The sequence below is a fragment of the Homo sapiens genome, chromosome 10 (genome assembly GCF_000001405.40).
Source record: "Homo sapiens chromosome 10, GRCh38.p14 Primary Assembly".
Lineage (NCBI taxonomy): Eukaryota > Metazoa > Chordata > Mammalia > Primates > Hominidae > Homo > Homo sapiens.
In genome coordinates, this window is record NC_000010.11 from 42,847,013 (window position 1) to 42,867,648 (window position 20,636).

Consider the following 20,636-nt stretch of genomic DNA (forward strand, 5'->3'; position numbering starts at 1 on the left):
GCCCGGGCTGGAGTGCAGTGGCGTGATCTCGGCTCGCTACAACCTCCACCACCCAGCCGCCTGCCTTGGCCTCCCAAAGTGCCGAGATTGCAGCCTCTGCCCAGCCGCCACCCCGTCTGGGAAGTGAGGAGCGTCTCTGCCTGGCCGCCCATCATCTGGGACGTGAGGAGCCCCTCTGCCCGGCTGCCCAGTCTGGAAAGTGAGGAGCGTCTCTGCCCGGCCGCCCATCGTCTGAGATGTGGGGAGCGCCTCTGCCCCGCCGCCCCATCTGGGATGTGAGGAGCGCCTCTACCCCACCGCGACCCCGTCTGGGAGGTGAGGAGCATCTCTGCCCAGCCGCCCAGTCTGAGAAGTGAGGAGACCCTCCGCCTGGCAACCGCCCCATCTGAGAAGTGAGGAGCCCCTCCGCCCGGCAGCCACCCCATCTGGGAAGTGAGGAGCGTCTCCGCCCGGCAGCCACCCCGTCCGGGAGGGAGGTGGGGGTCAGCCCCTGCCAGGCCGGCCGCCCTGTCCGGGAGGGAGGTGGGGGGGTCAGCCCCCCGCCCGGCAGCCACCCCGTCCGGGAGGGAGGTGGGGGGATCAGCCCCCCGCCCAGCCAGCCACCCCGTCCGGGAGGTGAGGGGCGCCTCTGCCCGGCCACCCCTACTGGGAAGTGAGGAGCCCCTCTGCCCAGCCAGCCGCCCCGACCGGGAGGGAGGTGGGGGGGTCAGCCCCCCGCCCGGCCAGCCGCCCCGCCCGGGAGGTGAGGGGCGCCTCTGCCCGGCCACCCCTACTGGGAAGTGAGGAGCCCCTCTGCCCGGCCACCACCCCGTCTGGGAGGTGTACCCAACAGCTCTTTGAGAACGGGCCATGATGACAATGGCGGTTTTGTGGAATAGAAAGGGGGGAAAGGTGGGGAAAACATTGAGAAATCGGATGGTTGCCGTGTCTGTGTAGAAAGAGGTAGACATGGGAGTCTTTTCATTTTGTTCTGTACTAAGAAAAATTCTTATCCTGTTGATCTGTGACCTTACCCCCAACCCTGTGCTCTCTGAAACATGTGCTGTGTCCACTCAGGGTTAAATGGATTAAGGGCGGTGCAAGATGTGCTTTGTTAAACAGATGCTTGAAGGCAGCATGCTCATTAAGAGTCATCACCACTCCCTAATCTCAAATACCCAGGGACACAAACACTGCGGAAGGCCGCAGGGTCCTCTGCCTAGGAAAACCAGAGACCTTTGTTCACTTGTTTATCTGCTGACCTTCCCTCCACTATTGTCCTATGACCCTGCCATATCCCCCTCTGTGAGAAACACCCAAGAATGATCAATAAAATAAATAAATAAATAAATAAAAAGGAAAATAGTTATCTGCTGAGGATGGCAGGGCTGTGCACCAAAATCTTAAGGGCCTGTGCTGCGACTCACCTATAGGCGCCTGCCAAAGGCTCCAAACTTATCTGCCACTGATGCTTCGAGCAATATTGGATCTGCTGGGTCACATGGTCCCTGTGGCAGAGTAGCATGCACGGACACCTGGACCTGCTGCACGGCCTTCTCTTGTTCTCAACACCAGCAGCCTTTCAGGTCACTTGTTACATGAGCTGGAGCAACACACCCAAATGAGGAATATGCTTCATCAAAACTCCAAATAGTTCAACTTGCATTATAATTCAGCTAGCCACAGGATGAGATTCTGAGTTTGATTTTCAGCAATCTCAGCTGAGGGGCTACCTGGGCTAAGGGTTTACTTGAGGGCACACAAAGGAGTTTTCAGGTCATTTATGTGATACTTGAGTTGGGAATTGGAATCCCTGAGCTCATTCTTTTATTTCCCCTTTGTCTAGTGACAATAGAAGCAACCATCTAGTATTCATTAGTTTGCTGAAAATGTTTGAAATGCCCTATACACAGTCACCCAGATCCTAGCTTCTTATAAAGTGGTTGATAGGAGTCTCCAATGGTGATATTTGTGTATCTCTATTGCCAGATTATGCCATGAACTATCAGTGCTCTATTATTGGAAATAGAGTTATTAACAACTTTAAATGAAATCTGTTTAGAGAACCAATTCCAGAAACCCCAGAACAAACCCAGAACACTCATTCTCAAAATTCTGTTCCTCTAGAACCATTATCTGTACCAAAATCTGTATTAGTCAGAGTTTTTGAGAAAAACAGAACCAATATGATATATAATGGGCTCACACAATTATGGAGGCTGAGAAGTCCAGTTGGCAGCCTGGAGACTTGGGAGAACCAATGATGTAGTTCTAGTCTGTGTTGGAAGGCTTGAGAACCAGGAGAACTGATGGTTGAGTTCCAGTCCAAAAGTCAGCAGGCTCAAGATCCAAGAATAGCCTATGTTTCAGTTTAAGTCCAAAGACAGGAAAAGACCAATGTCCCCTCTCAAGCAGTCAGACAAGAGGAGTCCCCTCTTGCTCAGGCTTTTTGTTGTATTCAGGTCTTCACTTGGTTGAATTATCCTGCCCACATTGGACAGAACAATCTACTTTACTCAGTTCACCAATCCAAATACTCATCTCAAGGAGAAACACCCCACAGACAAACCCAGAAAATGTTTAGCCAAATATCTGGGCACCCTGTAGCCCAGTCAAGTTGACACATAAAATTAACAATCACAGCTGTTGTGGAATTAACCTAAATGTCTATAACGAATGAATAAAGAAAGTGTGTGAGTGTGTGTGTGTGTGTGTGTGTGTGTGTGTATACATATATATAAAATATACACAATGGAATATTATTTAACCATAAAAATGACATGCTGTCATTTAGGCAATGTGGATGAGCCTGGAGGACCTTATGTTAAGCAAAATAAGTCAGACACGGAAAGATGTTCTCATTCATATGTGGGAGCTAGAAACATTTTGAACTCATGAAAGTAGAGAGTAGAATTGTGGGTATTAGAGGCTAGAAAGGGTAGAGAGGAGAGAAGGCTGGGGGAGGCTGGGTACCATACCAAATTACAGTTAGATAGGAGGAATGAGTTCTGTTCAGCAACACTGTAGGGTGAATGTGGTTAACAATAATTTATTGCATATTTTCAAAAAGCTAGGAGAGAGGATTTTGAATGTTCACAAAACAAATGAAAATGTCTGAGGTGATGGATATGTTAATTATCCTCATTTGATCATTTACACATTGTATGCTCATATGGAAATATCACTCTGTATCCCATAAACATATAGAATTATTACATGTCAACTAAAACTAAAAGGAAAAAATTAACTATCACAGAGATGAGCCAGAAGCTCATAAACACCTTTTTGAAGTCACTGTCCTGAACTCCTCACATGCTATGATTTCCCTGGTACTTTCCAGCTCCTAGGAGCTCTCCTTTTCAGCGCTCCAGCTGAGCAAGGGTATTATTTACTTCACTCTGCACCTTGCTTGTCATGACCATGCCCACATCCAGCGTCAAGCAATAAAAGGACAGAAAGAGTAAAAAAGCAATGGAGTGCACCCACCTGCTTAGACCATCTCTCTAGTTATCAGGAAGTGAGGTGCCAGTGGGCTGCAGGGGACTGGGGCATAAGAAAATGGAGTAAAGAGAAAAGAGTTTCTTGCACTCTCTCTGCATGTTAGGAGACTGTTTCCTGCTCCTCAGCCAGATCAGGAAGGCTTCTCCTGAGCCCTCTCTGTTTGCACCCAAGTCCACTTCCAAGTTCAGGCGTCCTTGAAGACAGACTAAGAGACACCAAAGAAGGGAAATGGTAAAACTCAATGCCAGATCAGTGTTACTTTGAATTATGGTGTTTTGTTTTGTTTTGTTTCCCAATTCTCCTGGGGTTATTTGGTTTTAAAACTCTTCAAATAGCTTCTTTATGTATTCTCTCTGATTTAGTGGGAGGGACACAGTGAAACGTGCTTACTCCATTTTCCCCAAAACTGAAATTCCCTTAATTTTTTTGAAACTAAAAATGAATTCCTACAAACATATGAATTTTTTTTAATGCTCATTGTTTTGAAATAATTATAGATTCACAGGCAGTTGTGCAGGAGTGTACAGGAAGGTTCCTTGTGCCCTTTACCCAACTGCCCCAGGGCTAGCATCTGACATAACTACAATATCAAAACAGGAAACTGACATTGGTACGATCCACAGAGCTTACTAATATTCAACGAGGTAGTGATGTGCTCACTTGGGTATGCGTGCATATAGCTGTCTGTAATGTTATCAAGTATGTACTTGTACCTATCATCACAATCAGGATGCATACCTCTGCACCACAGGCTTCCTTATGGTACCACTTTAGAGGCACACATCCACACGTCCTTCACTCCATCCCTAACCCCTGGCAACTATTAATCTTCTCTTCATCTCAGTAATTATGTTATTTCACAAATGCTATATACGTGGAATCATATAGTATGTACCTTTTTAAAACTGACTTACTTTTTAAGATTGATAATTTATTTGAGGTTCATTCAAGTTGTTACATGTATCAGTAGTTTGTTCTTTGTAATGCTGGGTAATATTCCATAATATGGATGTACCACAATGTATCCAATCATTCACCATTAAAGGACATCTGGGTAGTTTTCAGTTTGGGGTTATTACAAATAAAGCTGCTATGAACATTTGAATATAAAATTCTGTCTAAAAACAAGTTTTTATTTCTGTACTAGAAATGCCCATGTTTGCATTTTCTTGGTCCTATGGTAAGTACATTTTCAGTTTTATAAGGAACTGCCAAACTTTTTCCAGAGTGGCTGTACCATTTTACATTTTCACCAGCAAGTGTGGGTGCTCTGGTTTCTCTGCTTCCTTGCCAGGATTTGCTGTTATTCTGTTGTTGTTGTTGTTGTTGTTGTTGTTGTTGTTGTTGTTGTTGTTGTTGGAGTCTCCATCGCCCAGGCTGAAGTGCAGTGGTGTGATCTCAGTTCACTGCAACCTCCACCTCCTGGTTTCAAGCAATTCTCCTGCCTCAGCCTCCCAAGTAGTTGGTTACAGGCTCATACCACCACGGCCGGCTAACTTTTGTATTTTTAGTAGAGATGGGGTTTCACCCTGTTGGCCATGCTGGTCTCAAACTCCTGATCTCAAATGATCCACTCGCCTCGGCCTCCCAAAATTCTGGGATTACAAGCCTGAGCTACTGCACCCAGCCTAGTGCTAATCACTTTTTAAAAAGCCATTCTAATATGTAGTGATGTCTCATTGTGGTTTTAATTTGAACTTTCCTGATGGCTAATGTTGCTGACCATCCTTTCATTTACAAAGAATATTTTCTTTGGTCAAATATCTGTTCATGTCATTTGCACATTTTTAATTTGATTACTTATTTATTTTATGTTGAGTTCTGAGAGTTCTTTATTCTTGACACAAGTTCTTTGTCAGATATGTGATTTGCAAATATTTTCTCTCATTCTGTAACTTATCTTTCCATCATCCCAACAGGGTCTTTTGCAGAGCAAAAAAAATTTAATTTTGATGAGGTCCAATTTATCCATTTTTTTTCTTTTATGAATTGTATTTTGATGTCAAGTCTAAGAGCTCTGCCTAGTTCCTGGTCCTGAAGATTTTCTTCTATTTTTTTCCTGAAAATATTACAGTTTGACATTAAGCCCATGATCCTTGTGTTATGTTTTGTATAAAATGTGAAGGTCGGGCCAAGCCTCATCTCTTTGCCTATGGATGTCTGATTGTTCCTGCAGCACTTGTTGAAAGGGCTATCACTCCTCTACTAAACTGCTGTTGCATTTTTCTCAAAAATTAATTAAGCATATTTCTGGGTGGGGGGTCTCTGTTCTGCACCAGTAATTAATGTGTCTATCCCTCCACCAGCACCATACTGAGTTGATCACTGTAGTTATAGAGTAAGCTTTAATACTTGGTACAGTGATTTCTTCCATTTAATTATTCTTTTTCAAAATTGTTTCAGCTAACCTAGGGCCACTCCCTTTTAATATAAAGTTTACAATAAGTTTGCATATGTATACAAAAAACAATGCCAAGATTTAGAATTGTATTAAACCTGCAATTTGGGGGAAGCTGACATCTATGTTGAGACTTCCCATCCCTAAATATGGCATGACTCTCCATTTATGTAGATATTTGATTTCTTTCAGCAGAATTTTGTAATTTGCACTATATTCTCCTGTATATGTTTTATTAGATTTATACCTACATATTAATACTTCATGTATTTCGAGCAGTTGTAAATGGTATTGCAGTTTTTATTTTGGTTTCCACTTGTTTATTGTTACCATAGAGAGATGCAATTTGTGTACGTGTGTTATTCTTGTGTATTGCAGCCTTGATATTCTCACTCTTTATATCAAGGATGTTTTGTTTATTCCGTGGGACTGTTTATGTAGATGATTATGCCACGTGCAAGTAGTGATAATTTTCTTTCTTTCTTTTCAATCTGTGTACTTTTTATTTCTTTTTCTGGTCTTATTACACTGGCTAGAACTTCTAGTACTATCTTGAATTAAAATGGTGAAAGGGAACATTCCTGCCTTGTTCCTGCTCTTAAGGGGAAAGCATTCATTCTTTCACCATTAAGTGTGATGTTAACTGTAGATTTTTGCAAATGCTGTTTATGAAGTTGGAGGAAATTACCCTCTATTCCAAGTTTGCTAAGAGTTTATATCATAAATGGGTTTTGAATTTTGTCAAAACCTTTTCCTATGTCAATTGATAAGATCATATGATTTTTCTTCTTCAGTTTACAAGGCAGAATATGTTGATTGGCTTTTCAAATATTAAAACAGTCTTGCATAACTTGAGTGAAATTCCTCTTGATTGTGGTCTACTACTCTTTTTATGCATTACTAAATTTGATTTGCTAACATTGTCTTGAGGATTTTTCCATCTAAGCTTATGAGCCAAATCAGCCTGCAGTGTTCTTTCCTCTGTCCCTTCCTCCTTCCTCCCTCCCTTCCTTCCTTTGTGCTGTCTTTGTTTTGTTTTGATATCAAAATAATGATATCATAGTCCTTTCTCTTCTATTTTCTGGAAGAGATTGTGTAAAACTGGTGTTGATTCTTCTTTAAATATTTGGTAAATACTCCAGTGAAACCATTTGGGTCTGGATACATTGTGTTCAGGAGCTTTTTAGTTACAAATCCAATTTATATAATGGTTATAGGACTATTCAGGCTTTTATATATTTCATCTTTTCTGAGTTGTGGTAATTTGTGATTTTCAAGGAATTGATCCATTTTTTCCTAGGCTGTCAAATGTATGAGCATAAAATTTTTATAGCATTTTTCATAGATGCAGCCTCTTTTGTGATATTTCTTGTTTCATTCCTGATATTGGTGATTTGTGTGTTATCTCCTTTCATCTTTGTTGATCATGCTAGAGGATTATCAGTTTTATTAATTTTTTTAAGAACCTGTTTTTTATTTCCTTAATGTTCTGCATTGCTTTCCTGTTTTTAATTTCATCAATTTCTGCTCTTCACTTTCCGTCCTATTTGCCTTAACTTTATTTTACTATTCCTCTTTTAGTTTTTTGACTACTGGTTTGAGAACTTTCCATATTACTAAGGAAATAATATAAGGATTTAGTGCTATAAATTTCTCTCTCAGCTCTGCTATAGCTGAATCCCTCAATTTTTTTTTTAAGACAGGGTCTCATTCTGTCACCGAAGCTGGACTGCAGTAGCACAATCTCCACTTACTGCAGCCTCAACCTTCTGGGCTCAAGCAATCCCCCCATCTCAGCCTCCCAAGTAACTGGGACTACAGGTGCATGCCACCACACCTGGCTAATTTTTTGCAGAGATAGGGATTTCACCATGTTGCCCAGGCTAGTCTTGAACTCCTGGGCTGAAGAAGTGATCCACCCGCCACAGCCTCCCAAAGTACTGGGATTATAGGAGTAAGCCATTGCACCCAGCCGCATCCACAAATTTTGATATGCCATATTTTCATTGTGTTACTTGCGTTTTAAAAATTCCCTTTGAGACTTCTTCTTGTCCACATTGTATATAAATGTTTACTGCTTAATTTCCAAGTGTTTGCAGATTTTTCTCCTGTCTTTCTGCAATTTATTTCTAGTTTGATTCCATTGTGGTCAGAGGACACTCTTTGTATGATTTCGGTTTTTAAAAATTTATTAAGGTTTGTTTTAAGATCTAGAGTCTGTTCTATAAGAGCTTGAAAATAATGCGTATTTTGCTGTTGATGGATAGAGTTTTCCATAAATGTTAATTATACCCTATTGGCTAATAATATTGTTCAGTTATCCTATATTCTTGCTGATTTTTTTGTCTAGTAATTTTACAAATTCTGAAAGTGAGATGTTGACATATCCCAACTATAATTATGGATTTTTCTATTTCTTTTTTAAGCTCTATCAGGTTTTGCTTCATGTGTTTTGAAGCTGTGTTGTTTGGTGCACATATATTTAGGATCAAGATATACTCTTGCTCTTTTGTTATTATGTAATATTCCTCTTTTGTCCTAGAAATTCTTTTTGCCATGAACTCTATCTGATATTATTATAGCATCTCCTGCTTTTTTGAAAGTTCCTGTTTGTTTGCATGAAATATTTTTTTTTCTGTTCTTTCACTTCCAATCTGTTAAATACCTATGCCATGGTATTAGAACTGAATATCTTATGGACATCCTATAATGGGTCATATTTTTGCATTTACTCTGCTATTTCTGTGTTTTTCCCAGATTTAACCAAACTGCAAAGTCTGAGGGCATGGTTCCTAAAATTTCCCTCATTCCTGACACCAACAGCAAGTTTTGGAGGTTTCCAAAGCACCTTAAGTTTCAATCATTTGCTGGAAGGACTCATTGAAAACTGCTCTACATGTGGTTACTGTTTACTGCAGGGAAATGATACAAATCAGAACCAGCACAGAGGGCAGGGCTAGGAGGGTCTGTGAAGCCTCTGTTGTCCTCAGGTGCATTACTCTCCCAGCATCCACGTGTGACAATACCATGAAGCACTGCCAACCTAGGAACCTCACCCAAGCCTTGGTGTCCAGAGTGTTTCCTGGAAGTGCATTGTGCAGCCATAATTGACAGATCTGTTGGAGACTGGTTGGAACTCTGTCTTCACCTCTCCCTTTCCCGGAATCTGGGGCTGACAGCACATTCCTAGGGGGGCCCACCATGAGCCAGCTGGTAGCATAAACTTCAGGTATGGTCTGAGGGGCCCACTATGAATAGCAAAGACCCTTCTGTCACATGGGCTTCAGGACTACTTACCAGGAGCCAGGACAAAGGCTAGACCTCTCTTTGGGCTAGGCCAAATTCTTTACCACACAGAAATTATATTTAGGACTCAAATGTGCCATTTTTATTTGCTTTCTGCATGTTTCTTATGTTTCCTTTATCCTGTTTTGTTTCACTTGTCATGGATTAGTTGAACAGTTTTTAGCATTTCATTTTGAATTATTTATTCTTTTGGGTGCATTGCTTTGTATCGTTTTCTAAGTGGCTGCTCTAGGATTGATTATAATATACACATGTAACTTATCACAGCCTGCTGGCATCAATGTTTCACCATTTCATGAGAAATATCAAAAGCTTACTTTTATTTCCCCTTTTCCTCCCCCACTTAAACATGTAATTATCATAAATATTTCCTCTTCAGATGTAGAGCACCGCAGCAGATGATGTTATTATTTTTTGCTTCAACCATAAAATACAATTTAAGAAACTCATCATAGTCTATTATATTTACCACATGATTACCCCTTCTGTTGTTGCTATTTCTGATTTCCTTATTTCCTTTTTGTTAGGAGAGCTTCCTTCAGCCATTTATTAAGGGTGGGTTTTCTGGTAACAAATTATCCTAGTTGTCCTTCCTCTTAGAATGTCTTTATTTCCCCCTCATCCCTGAAGGATACGTTCACTGAATAGGGTTCTGGGCAGACAGTTTTTCTCAGCACCTGGCGATGGTGTGTTGCCCCCCTCTACCTCGTGGTTTTAGAGAAGCCCACCATCCTCAGAACCAGTGTATCTTAATGCATCATTTTTCTCTGGTGGTTTAAAAAATTTTTTTCTTTGTCTTTCCTTTCCTGAAGTTCCATTATGATGTGTTTATCCTATTTGGGGTTTGCTCAGATTCTTGAATCTGCAGGTTTATTTCTTTCACCAAATTTGGGACGTCTTCAACCACTGTGCCTTTGAATACTTTTTCACCACACATTCCTTCCTCTCCTCCTGGGACTCTGGTGACAGGAACGCTGGGCCTTTTGTCACTGTCCCACCCATCCCCAAGGAGGCATTCATTTCTCAGTCTCCTATCTCTCCGTTGTTCCTATGGGCCAGCTCTATTAATTGTCTTTGAATCAACAGACTCTGTTCTCTGTCGCCTCCACTCTGCTATTGAACCCAACTGCACATTTTTTCATTTAGTTATTGTATTTTTCAGTTGTATGATTTTCATTTTGTTCTTGTTTCAAGAAAATTCACCATTGTTTTCTGAAGCATTTTTATGATGGCTGCTTTAAAGTTCTAATATCTGATTTATCTTGATTAATCTTATTTTGCTATTTAAGTTGTTTTTTGTTTTGTTCTGTTATGTTTTTGAGACAGAGTCTTACTCTGATGCTCAGACTGGTGTGCAGTAGCATGATCTCAGCTCACTGCAGCCTCAAACTGCCGGGCTCAAGCGGTCCTCCTGCTTCAGCCTCCTAAGTAGCTGGCACCACAGGTGTGTGCCACCACAGCTGGCTAACTTTTAAATTGTTTGTAGAGACAGGATCATGCTGTGTTGCCCAGGCTGATCTCAAACTCCTGGACTCAAGCCATCCTCCTGATTGACCTTCCAAAGTGCTGGGATTACAGGTGGGAGCCCCCTCACCTGGCTTCAAGTTGCTTTTTATGTTTCCTGATGTGACAAATAATTTCAAATATATTCTGGAGATTTCGGTTATTATGTAAGGAAACTTTTTATCCTATTTGAACATTCCAGTTCAGTCCATGGTACCCTTATTTGGTTTACCATATAGGCCCCAGCCTGCTTTAGGGGAAATGTAGAGTCAATGACAATTTGGTTTTCAAAGCCCTCCCCGTGCTATTCTGGTCGGGTTTGTTCTTCTGGATCTGCTGGGCCTCTGGTTCAATCCCTGCGCATGTTGCCGGGGTTGCCCTGTGCGGTGGGGGTAGGTTAAGGAAACGCTGGGTGCTGGGTGTGGTCTCTGAGCCACGGTCAGCAGAGCCTGTTGTGGCCTGGGTGTGATGCTGAGGGCCAGGCCTGAACGGAGCTGCTGTGACATGGATCAGGGGGAATCTCCTCGCTGGGTCTCCAGTGAGATGCCCTTTTCAGTCCTTTCACCAGAGAGAACAGGCTCTTTTTCTTTTCTTTTTTCCCCCTGCAGGTTTTGGCAGTTACAGGTTGCAGGGTTCTCTGGGCCCATCCAGGAGATGAGAGAGAAAAAGAAAACTCAGGGCCTGGTACAGCGTCACCCCCAAAGTCCCAAGGTTCCTGGACAGCCTTTCTTCCTCTCCATCTCCTAGAGTCCTCTTACGTCTGTTAAATTATTTCCAGGGTGTCTAGTTGTATTTAGAGGGCAGATGCCACCTCGTCATAGAACACCAGGGTCCACTCTCCAGGCATTTGGAAAGAGTTGCCACGAGGTCCTCGGAAGGGTGTGACAGTTCACACGCCCACCAGCAGCGTTTCCACGTCTCCATTTCCTCTGCCCCTGACAGCATCTAATGCTATGATTTTTGTTTGAAAATTTGGCTTTTGGTTCCTTTATGAGGTGATTAATTAATACAGGCTGCTGGCTCCTTCCCATGAATCCAAACCTTGGAGATGCCATCAAAGGGATGACAGTTGATGGAGCCCAGAACCTAAGAGGAAACCCCTGAGAGCCTCGCAGAGGCTGGGCAAATGTGGTGGAGTCTGGGGCAGGAGGGGAACCACAGTCTGAGTGGAGGAGGCCACACAGCACAGCCCGGGCCAGTCTGCAGCTCTCTGCTCCGGGGCCCACCTGGGGCTGTCATCTGCCGGCCCTGCTTTCCTGTAGAAGATCCCACCCATACCAGCCCCAGGAATCCAGGCAAGGCCAGAGCACCTCAGGAGCCTCCTGGAGTGATGGCCATGACACCTGGTCAAGCTGGCTGGTAGCCCCTGGGCAGCCCTCCTCCCCAGCCCAAGGACAGCCAATTACAGCACAGGGCAGCCCTGGACAGACAGCACCAGCTAGAAGGACGGGGCATTCCCTGCAGACCAGAGCAGCCCCCGGGGATGAGCAAAGAGGGCCCCAGTCATCCTGCCAGAGGCTCTGCCCCGAGGAGCCCCTGCCTGCCTCCCTGAAACCCACCAGGAAGGTGTCAACTGGGGCCTAGGACGAAGGCAGCTGACCGTCCCCAGGGAACAGAGAGCGGCCTGAGGAAACGAGACAGCCAGGGGAGTGAACTCTGGGAGGGAAAAACCGCAAGGTTTTTCCTTGGAGGAGGGAGCAGATGAGCGGGTAAGACCGGCAAATCCGTCACATACCCTCAGGACGCAGGGAGCGCGGCTGGAATCAGCAGTTATGCAGAAAACGCAGGCCAGGTTACTGGACTGGAACATGCGGGCGCTTAAGTGATGAACTTGGTGGGAAGTTTGGAGAGCAGAAAATGAACGAGTGAGACAAGTCAGGCTCTGAGCTCTTTTAGAAGGATCTGAAGGGATTGAGGAGGCAGAGGTGAGGGAGGAGAAATATTCAGTGCTTAGAAGAGGAAAAATGAATAGATAAGAGGAGGTATCTGAAAAATGACTAGGAACTTCCCCCAATTAAGAAAAGACGCACATCCTCAAACTGAAAAGGCCTGCAGAGCGTTAATTACATTTTAAAGTTAAAATGTTCTGTGTAATTTCAAAGAAAAGCATCTACATTTTGAGTCAAAATTGCTAAAAACTTCCAAAGAGAAAAAGCAGGTAACCCTCACAGGAACGCGAGTGGTGCTGACATTAGAATTGCAGCACAGACAACGGATGCAAAAAGAAAGGGGGTGACAGCTTCAGACGCGAGAGGAAAGGACCCTGGAACCCAGGGCTGCGTCCTGCTCACCGCCATGAAATATGGGCACGCAGGAAGCCATCCTCAGTCCTATCAGCCCCCTTGAGAGTCAACCCCAAAAACACTCTTGGAGAAATATTTCAGCAAGAAAAAGGAGCCAGGGAGAATGCTGCCAGGTCTGGGGAGGAGTGGTGCTTCCCGAGCGTGAATGGTTCACTGCCATCTAAGTAAGCAATGACCTACGCGTGTGCCGCACAGTCCAGCTTCCTCAGAGGCGGTGGTGGCCTGGTGGAGGAATGTGGGCTGGCTGGGTGGCCACAGAGAATTACTGTTTCCATTAAAAGGAAATGTGTTCTGGCCGGGAGCCGTGGCTCACGCTGTAATCCCAGCACCTTGAGAGGCTCAGGCAGGTGGATCACTTGAGGTCAGGAGTTCGAGACCAGCCTGGCCAACCTGGTAAAACCCCGTCTCTACTAAAAATACAAAACTTAGCTGGGCGTGGTGGCAGGCGCCTGTAATCCCAGCACTTTGGAAGGCGGAGGCGGGCGGATCACTTGAGGCTAGGAGTTAGAGACCAGCCTGACCAACATGGGGAAACCCCGTGTCTACTAAAAATACAAAAATTAGCCTGGCATGGTGGCACATGCCTGTAGTCCCAGCTACTCGGGAGGCTGAGGCAGGAGAATCGCTTGAACCTGGGAGGTGGTATGTTGCAGTGAGCGGAGATCACGCCACTGCACTCCAGCCTGGGCAACAGAGCAAAAACCTGCCTAAAAAAAAAAAAAGTATCACATGGAGACGTGTGTCCGTTTGGGACTGTTTTCCAGCCTTTCCACACTCTCTCCCTCCCCATCTGTCCCTCCATCTCCACCAAGCTGTGTTTTGATGTTGTGTTTGCATGATTTGGTGTATCTGGCATTTTAACATTTGCAGGGCAAATTTCTCTTCATTTTGGGTTTTTCTCTGCCTGTTCTTTTGTGTTTATTCTTTCAGATAAACTTAATTCTTTTTCCTTTAATGTCCTCTGATAAAAATATGCTTCAGAGACCACTGCATGTCACTGGGTTATCAGTTTTAATAGCTGCAAAAATTACATGGAGTGCTTAGACCATCATTTATTTAAGGAGTCTATTTTGGTTGTTTTCACTTTTCCCCCATGCCCAGTGGCGATGGCTTTTGTGCAGTGTAGAGGTTGAAAGAAAGGGAGTTCCACTGCTTAAACTCAAAATGTGTTTCTACTATAGTGGGCCCTCCCTACCTATGGGTTCCAATTCATGGATTCAACCAACCATCAGTTGAAAATATTCAGAAAAAGAAGTGGATGGTTCTGTCTGTACTGAACATGTACAGACTTTTTTCCTTCCTGTTAGTCCCTAACAGTATAACACCTGTTTCCATAGCATTTACAGTATACGAGGTATTACAGGTAACTTAGAGATGGTTTCAGCTCTACAGGAGGATGTGCGCAGGTTACATACAGATACTATGTCATGCACAAGGACTTGAGCTTCGGTGGATTTTCATATCTTCAGGGGTCCTGGAACCAATCCCCTACAGAATCCTAGGGATGAATGTATTTGCCAGTCCTGTGACTTGGACCAGGCATTTAATCTTTCCCAGCCTCCATTTGCTAATCTTTATAATGGTGATAAGTGTTAAACCCTTCACTGTTTCAGTGGGGCACATCCCAGCACACGCTGGTGACCACTTTTCTGGAGTAGATTATTTGAAGCAGGATTGGAATCATCAGTCAGGGAGTAGGTACATTTCCCCTCCACATTTGCAAGTCACTTCGTGTTCCTAAACGGTTGTACCAGATCCCATGTCCTCCCACAGGGCAGGAAGTGCCCATCTCCTGACTCCACTGGTGGTGAAGGGGCTCAGGGCTTTTCATCTTGCCAGTCTGGTGAGCACAAGGCGCTTTTCATTATTGTTTACATTTGCATTTTTATTAGACAGCAGGAGGGTTTTAGCATCTCTTCAAGTGTTTATTGGCCATTCTCCTGTCTCCTGCAATTTGTGCCAATCCTCTGCCCATTTTTCTGTTGGGTTGGTTGCCTTTCACATATTGATTTTGTAAAAGCTCTTTATATATTCTCCATTTAAATCCCGTGGCTGCTTATAAATGTTATAAAAGACTTTTCCCTGGTATGATGCTTACCTTTTGACGTGTCCATGAGGCCTTTCTGTATTCAGAGGTTTTCAATACTCGTATAATCAAACCTGGTAGTTTTCCTTTTGGTTTTGAGGTTGTGTCTTGTTTGGGTGAGTCTTTCCTACCCCTTTGACTACAGAAATGCCCTTTCATTTATAATATCCTCCTATTATGAAACATATTTCCACATTTTCTAAATTTTTAATTTTTAGCTGAGAAATAAATTAGTAATGATTAAAGTATTAATTACTTTTATCTTGTTATTAATTATTGGTTTTATTTATTTACATGTAGTTGGCTTACATTTAGTTTAGTTTAACTTAATTACTTTAAAGTAATGTATAAATATCTTCAGTTTGTACCGCATGTTCTCACTCATAAGTGGGAGTTGAACAATGAGAACACATAGACACAGGGAGGGGAACATCACACATCAGAGTCTATCCGGGGGCTGGGTGCAAGGGAAAGGAGAGCATCAGGACAAATACCTAATGCATGCAGGGCTTAAAACCTAGATGACAAGTTGATAGGTGCAGCACATGTATACCTATGTAATAAACCTACATGTTCTGCACATGTATCCCAGAACTTAAAGTAAATTTTTAAAAAAATTAATTAATTAAAAATATATATCTTCAGTTTGTAAATGTCCCGGCAACACGGGAACAGAGTTAAAAGAGTGTGTGTCGTCCTTAGCTGCTCCCACCCCCTCATCTCCTCCCTAGCCATCCCAGCCACCAGTCTGGCCTGCGCCTTTCAGGTTTCTTCCTAGACGCTGGCATACATAGATCACTATTTTCTGCCATGTGGTATCTTTTAAACACACACGATTGTTTTGTGCAGAAACTTTCTATTTTTACCTCTCATAAGTGTCCTGTGGGTTCTTTCCATGTCACTGTGATGTGTGTGCGTATGTGAGATTCAAGTTCAGCTTGCTAATCTTGTAGAAAGAATTACGCTCCACTTCCCCTGTGCTCTGGCCCTCCCTAACACAGCAGCCCATCCCTGGAGGCTGATGGAGCCCCTCGAGCACTTCTGCTTACCATTTCTCTTTGTTCTGTTTGTTCAGGTTTTCTGCCTCCTGCTAAGCCAATTTATACATTCCAAGAAAATCTTCCATTTCATCCAGGTGAAACAGAACCTACTGGAATGAAGCTGGCCTCCCGTCTCCTTGATTTGAAGCAGCTTCTCCACATTGGTTATTATGCCATTTTTCTAAATCTAACGTTTTAAAATTTGTGCCTTTCCTTTCTCTTTTGCTTGACTTCCCAGAGGTTTTTTTAACCGTCTTTTCAAAGAAGTGGTTTTGGGTTTTATTTATCAAGTCTACTTTTATTATGGCTGTTTTAAAATTAAATATATTTATTTCTTGTTTCCCTTAAAAAAGCTTCTTGTATGTTTACTTAGTTTATATAATTTTATATGTCTTTTGTTGAAGCATATTAACAAACACTTGCAGCTATAACATTTCCCCTGGGAACTGCTTTGGACATATCCAAAGATTTTGATAAGTCACACACTTATTGTAGTTTGTTTCTGAAAAGTTTTTCATTTTAGTTTTTATTTTCTCTTTTATTCAAATTATCATGCGCTTTCTCCTTTTATCCTGTTTCTGACAAATTAATCTAAGGATATAAATCTCTCCCTAAATGTCAATTTTGTTGAGTTTCATAATTTTAATATGTAATACCCTATTGCTATTGAGTTCCAGGCATTTTATAATTTTCATTGTGAAAACTAACTTTGTTTCCAAAACACACTTTTTCTTTTTTTTGAGACAGAGTCTCACTCTGTCGCTCAGGATGGAGTGCAATAGCACAATCTCAGCTCGCTGCAACCTCTGCCTCCTAAGTTTAGGTGATTTTGTTGCCTCAGCCTCCCTAGTAGCTGGGTTTACAGGCTCTTGCCACTATGCCTGGCTAATTTTTTGTATTTTTAGTAGAGACAGGGTTTCGTCATGTTGCCCAGGCTGGTCTTGATCTCCTGACCTTGGGTGATCCACCTGCTTCAGCCTCTCAAAGTGCTGGGATTACAGGCATGAGCCACCATGCCTGGCCCCAAAATGCACTTTTAACATGGTCTTTGTTACTGCATGTTTCTAATTTTGTTGCTCCCTGGTGAGAGAATGTGATTTGTATAACAGCAATTCTGGGAAAGGGGCTGAAGCTTCCTGCTCCTTTAGCACAGCTAATTTTCCCAAACGCTGTCCATGAGCTTGGAAAGAGCATTGTACTCTGTTGGGATGGGCTCAAATCTCTCTGTAAAAATGAGTGTTCTTCTGTTGTTATTGTTTTGGTTTTTGTTTGTTTTGTTTTGTTTTTTGTCTCACTTGTTTTGTTTGCTCAGATCTTTTGATGATCTGGATAATCTTTTAATTTATGCAGGATGTTTCTCTGCTTGTGCAGGCTGGTGGGATGGGGGACTGGATAGAGGACAGGTGTCTGCTTGCCCAGGACTGGCAAACTGTCACTTGCCCTGGTTGTGCCTTGCCAGGAGCTCCCGTGCCTGTCTCTGAGAGTGTCATGAGCTCAGTGGTGGTAGTTGTGTGGTGGATGCACTTCCCCCTGGGTTGGGGGGTGGGTGGCTGGTCCTAACTGTTTGTTGTTGCAGATGAGACACGGGCGCACTTCTGCTTCCTGATGGATCTTGTCAGTCGTTTGACTTCTTCCTGGTCTGGGCTCCTGAGTTGGCCCTCTGCAGGCCAAGCAGGAATGGAGCTGGCTGCTACAAGAGTTCCTTCACTAGAGGGCATCTCTCCTCTCTCCTCCCACACATGGGAACACGCGGGTGGGCTTTCCTCCGCCCACTGTGGTCCACAGCCCGGCTTTCCACTCCTCACCCTCTGCTCTCAGACAGACCTGCTTTTCCCTGGTGTCTGTGAGAGGTGATTCTTCATTGTGCCAAGAATGTGGATTTTTTTGAGAGCAGGGACTCTCACAGATATTTGCACACCCATGTTCAAAGCAGCATGATTCACAAGAGTCAAAAGGTAGAAGCATTCTGAGGGTCTATGGGTGAGTGGATGGACAAGCGAAATGTGGTTATGCATACAGTAGACTGTTACTGAACCTTTAGCAGGAAGGAGATTCTTTTTTTTTCTTTCTTTTTGTGGAGAATGGGGTCTCGCTATATTGCCCAGGCAGGTCTCGAACTCCTGGGTTCAAGCTATCTTCCCACCTCTGCCTCCCTAACAGCTGGGATAATAGGCATGAGCCTATAATATCACCCGGCCAGGAGGGAAATTCTGAGAGGCATGCCAACACGCATGAGCCTTGAGGACATTGTGCTAGATGGAATAAGCCAACCACAAAAGGACAGATACATTGCGATTTCACTTACATGAGGGGCCCAGAATGGGCAAATTCAGAGACAGAAAGAGCAATGGTAACAAAAGGAGGGAGCTGGTGTTCAATGGGTTCAATGCTCAGTGGTGTTCAATGGGTATGGTTTCCTTTTGGGAAGATGAAAAGGTTCTGGAGATGGACGGTGGTAGGGGATATGCGAAAATGTGAGTGCACTTAATGCCAGTTAACCCACACTAAAAGATGGTACAACTGTGCATTTTATGTTAGGTATATTTTCACCACAATTAAAAAATTTGAAAAGAGCTTGGATTTTGGAGCTGATCTGCCTGTTTCAGATCCTGCCATGAAGTTCTACGAGCTTGAGCCAGTTCCTGGGCCTCCTGGTGCCTCAGTCCTGCATGTAACACGGCGAGCGCGTGTGCACACGGCTCTGGGAGTTCTCGTGCAGCACTCAGAGCTCAGCGTGGGCGAGGGCGTCACCCTTCAGGGGGCGTCCATGGGGCCTTGGAGAAGGGAGGCTCCGGGGCGCCACAGCAGTCTACCGGGAGAGGCCAGGCCAAGCGCTTGTTCACCCGCAGCCCTCTTAGGGAACTTTCACATGCTTCTCCCACTAGGCCTAGGCACCCCTCCCCACCCTCCCTGCCCTCCTGGTTCCCTGATCCTCAGTGACCTTGTCCTTCAAGACTGAACTCCAGAGTCCCCACCCGAGGACCCGCAGTGCCCGGCCGCCGCGAGCTCGCGGGGTGTATGCCCGCCCCGAGGCTCCACCGCGCCTGTGTGCCGGGAAGCCTGGCTCCACAGGACCCTCAGGCACTGGGCGCGCCGTCGCTGCAGCTGCCAGGAGCTCCTGAGGAAGTGGCTCGAGGCCCCGGGGCGGGTCAGGCGTAGGGTGGGCCCGCTGCCCTCACACCCGCCCCGGCCGCACACAGGAGGCGCGATCAGCAGAGTCGTTGGACAGGTTTGGACACCGGCTGTCTCTTTCGGGCCTCGGTTTTCGCGTCTGAAATAAAAGCGCGCATCCTGGCCCTGGCGCGGTGCCTCTGCCGCGGTAGAGGTTTCCACCATGAGCCCAGTGCGCCTTCCAGGCTCGAGGGAGAGGGAGTGTGCGTGCGTGTGAACGCGTCACACTCTTGTGTGAACGCGTCATACGCTTGTGAAAGACGGTGCTTGTGCACACGCGTGTGCGTGCGTGTGAACGCGTCAGGGTACCCGAGGATGCACACACGCACGTGTGAGTGTGCGCGAGTGCGTGCTCAGAGGACAGCTCTCAGCAGGCTGGGGACCTCCTTCCTCTCACCCCTGAGGGTTTTGGGGGACCAGCCCCCGTATCCGGGTGCTGCGGGATCCCCTGAGGCGAGCGCGCACCGCTGTGCTCGGGCTCCGGCTTTGTGGGGACCCGGCCTTCCCGGCCCGCACCACGAGGAGTTCCACGCAGTAGCCACGAGGTGGCACCGCAGACTCGCTACCGCGGAGCGCGGCGGCTCCCGGCTCCCAGCAGCCTCGCCTAGGGCTGTGGCCAGGGCGGTCAGTCTCAGGCCCAGGCCGCTGCTGCCAGGAAAAGCAGGAACAATCGCCAGTCACGCCTGCTGATGCCCCTGAAGTGCTTATGCTCCCAGGCATGGGCTGACCGCAACGTGCATTCTCTCCTTTTATGTCCCTACTGTTTGGAACCCTGTTTTTGTTTTTGTTTTTGTTTTTGTTTTGTAAATCTGCCGCTTAAAATACCCAGGGTGGAGCTAAAAGTACAGACACTGCTCAACTTACCCCTGGCTGCGGCCCGATAAGGCCGCTGAGAGTGGAAAATGACTGAGTCCACCTGACTACCGAATAGCACAGCGTGGGGGCCTACCTTGGCCTGCTGAGAACACTGCCCTGAGCCTGCGGTGGGCAGAAGCATCAACACGAAGCCTGTTTTGTAGTCAAGTGTCGGATACCTCATGTAATCATTGACTACTGTACTGAAAGTGAAAAACCGAGTTGCCGTGTGGGACTCAAACGAGGGTTTCTGCTGACTGTGGATGGCTTTTGCATCACTATAAAGTTGAAAACTGTTAAGTGGAACTGCGGTTAAGTCGGGGCTGTGTGCACTAGAGACCTGAGTTCTGCCGCTCCATAGCTGTGTGACTTTGGACACATATTTGAGCCTGAGTGTCTTCTACACAAAATGGATTTCTTAGCATAACATACACATGTGTACGCGCCCGTGAGCATACGCGTGTGTGTTTGCATGAACACATCTGTGTATGCAC

General features: G+C 45.0%; 3 annotated features.

Annotated features, from left to right (window-relative positions):
- Positions 18,821-19,454: an enhancer, noted in NCBI's record as "H3K27ac-H3K4me1 hESC enhancer chr10:43361281-43361914 (GRCh37/hg19 assembly coordinates)". NCBI's record gives its function as "activates a minimal SCP1, AML or CMV promoter by ChIP-STARR-seq in primed H9 embryonic stem cells {active_cell/tissue: H9 hESC(primed)}" and the evidence as "EXISTENCE:reporter gene assay evidence [ECO:0000049][PMID:30033119]".
- Positions 19,455-20,088: an enhancer, noted in NCBI's record as "H3K27ac-H3K4me1 hESC enhancer chr10:43361915-43362548 (GRCh37/hg19 assembly coordinates)". NCBI's record gives its function as "activates a minimal SCP1, AML or CMV promoter by ChIP-STARR-seq in primed H9 embryonic stem cells {active_cell/tissue: H9 hESC(primed)}" and the evidence as "EXISTENCE:reporter gene assay evidence [ECO:0000049][PMID:30033119]".
- Positions 19,867-19,936: a silencer, noted in NCBI's record as "silent region_2312". NCBI's record gives its function as "represses an Ori minimal core promoter by ATAC-STARR-seq in GM12878 lymphoblastoid cells {active_cell/tissue: GM12878}" and the evidence as "EXISTENCE:reporter gene assay evidence [ECO:0000049][PMID:35858748]".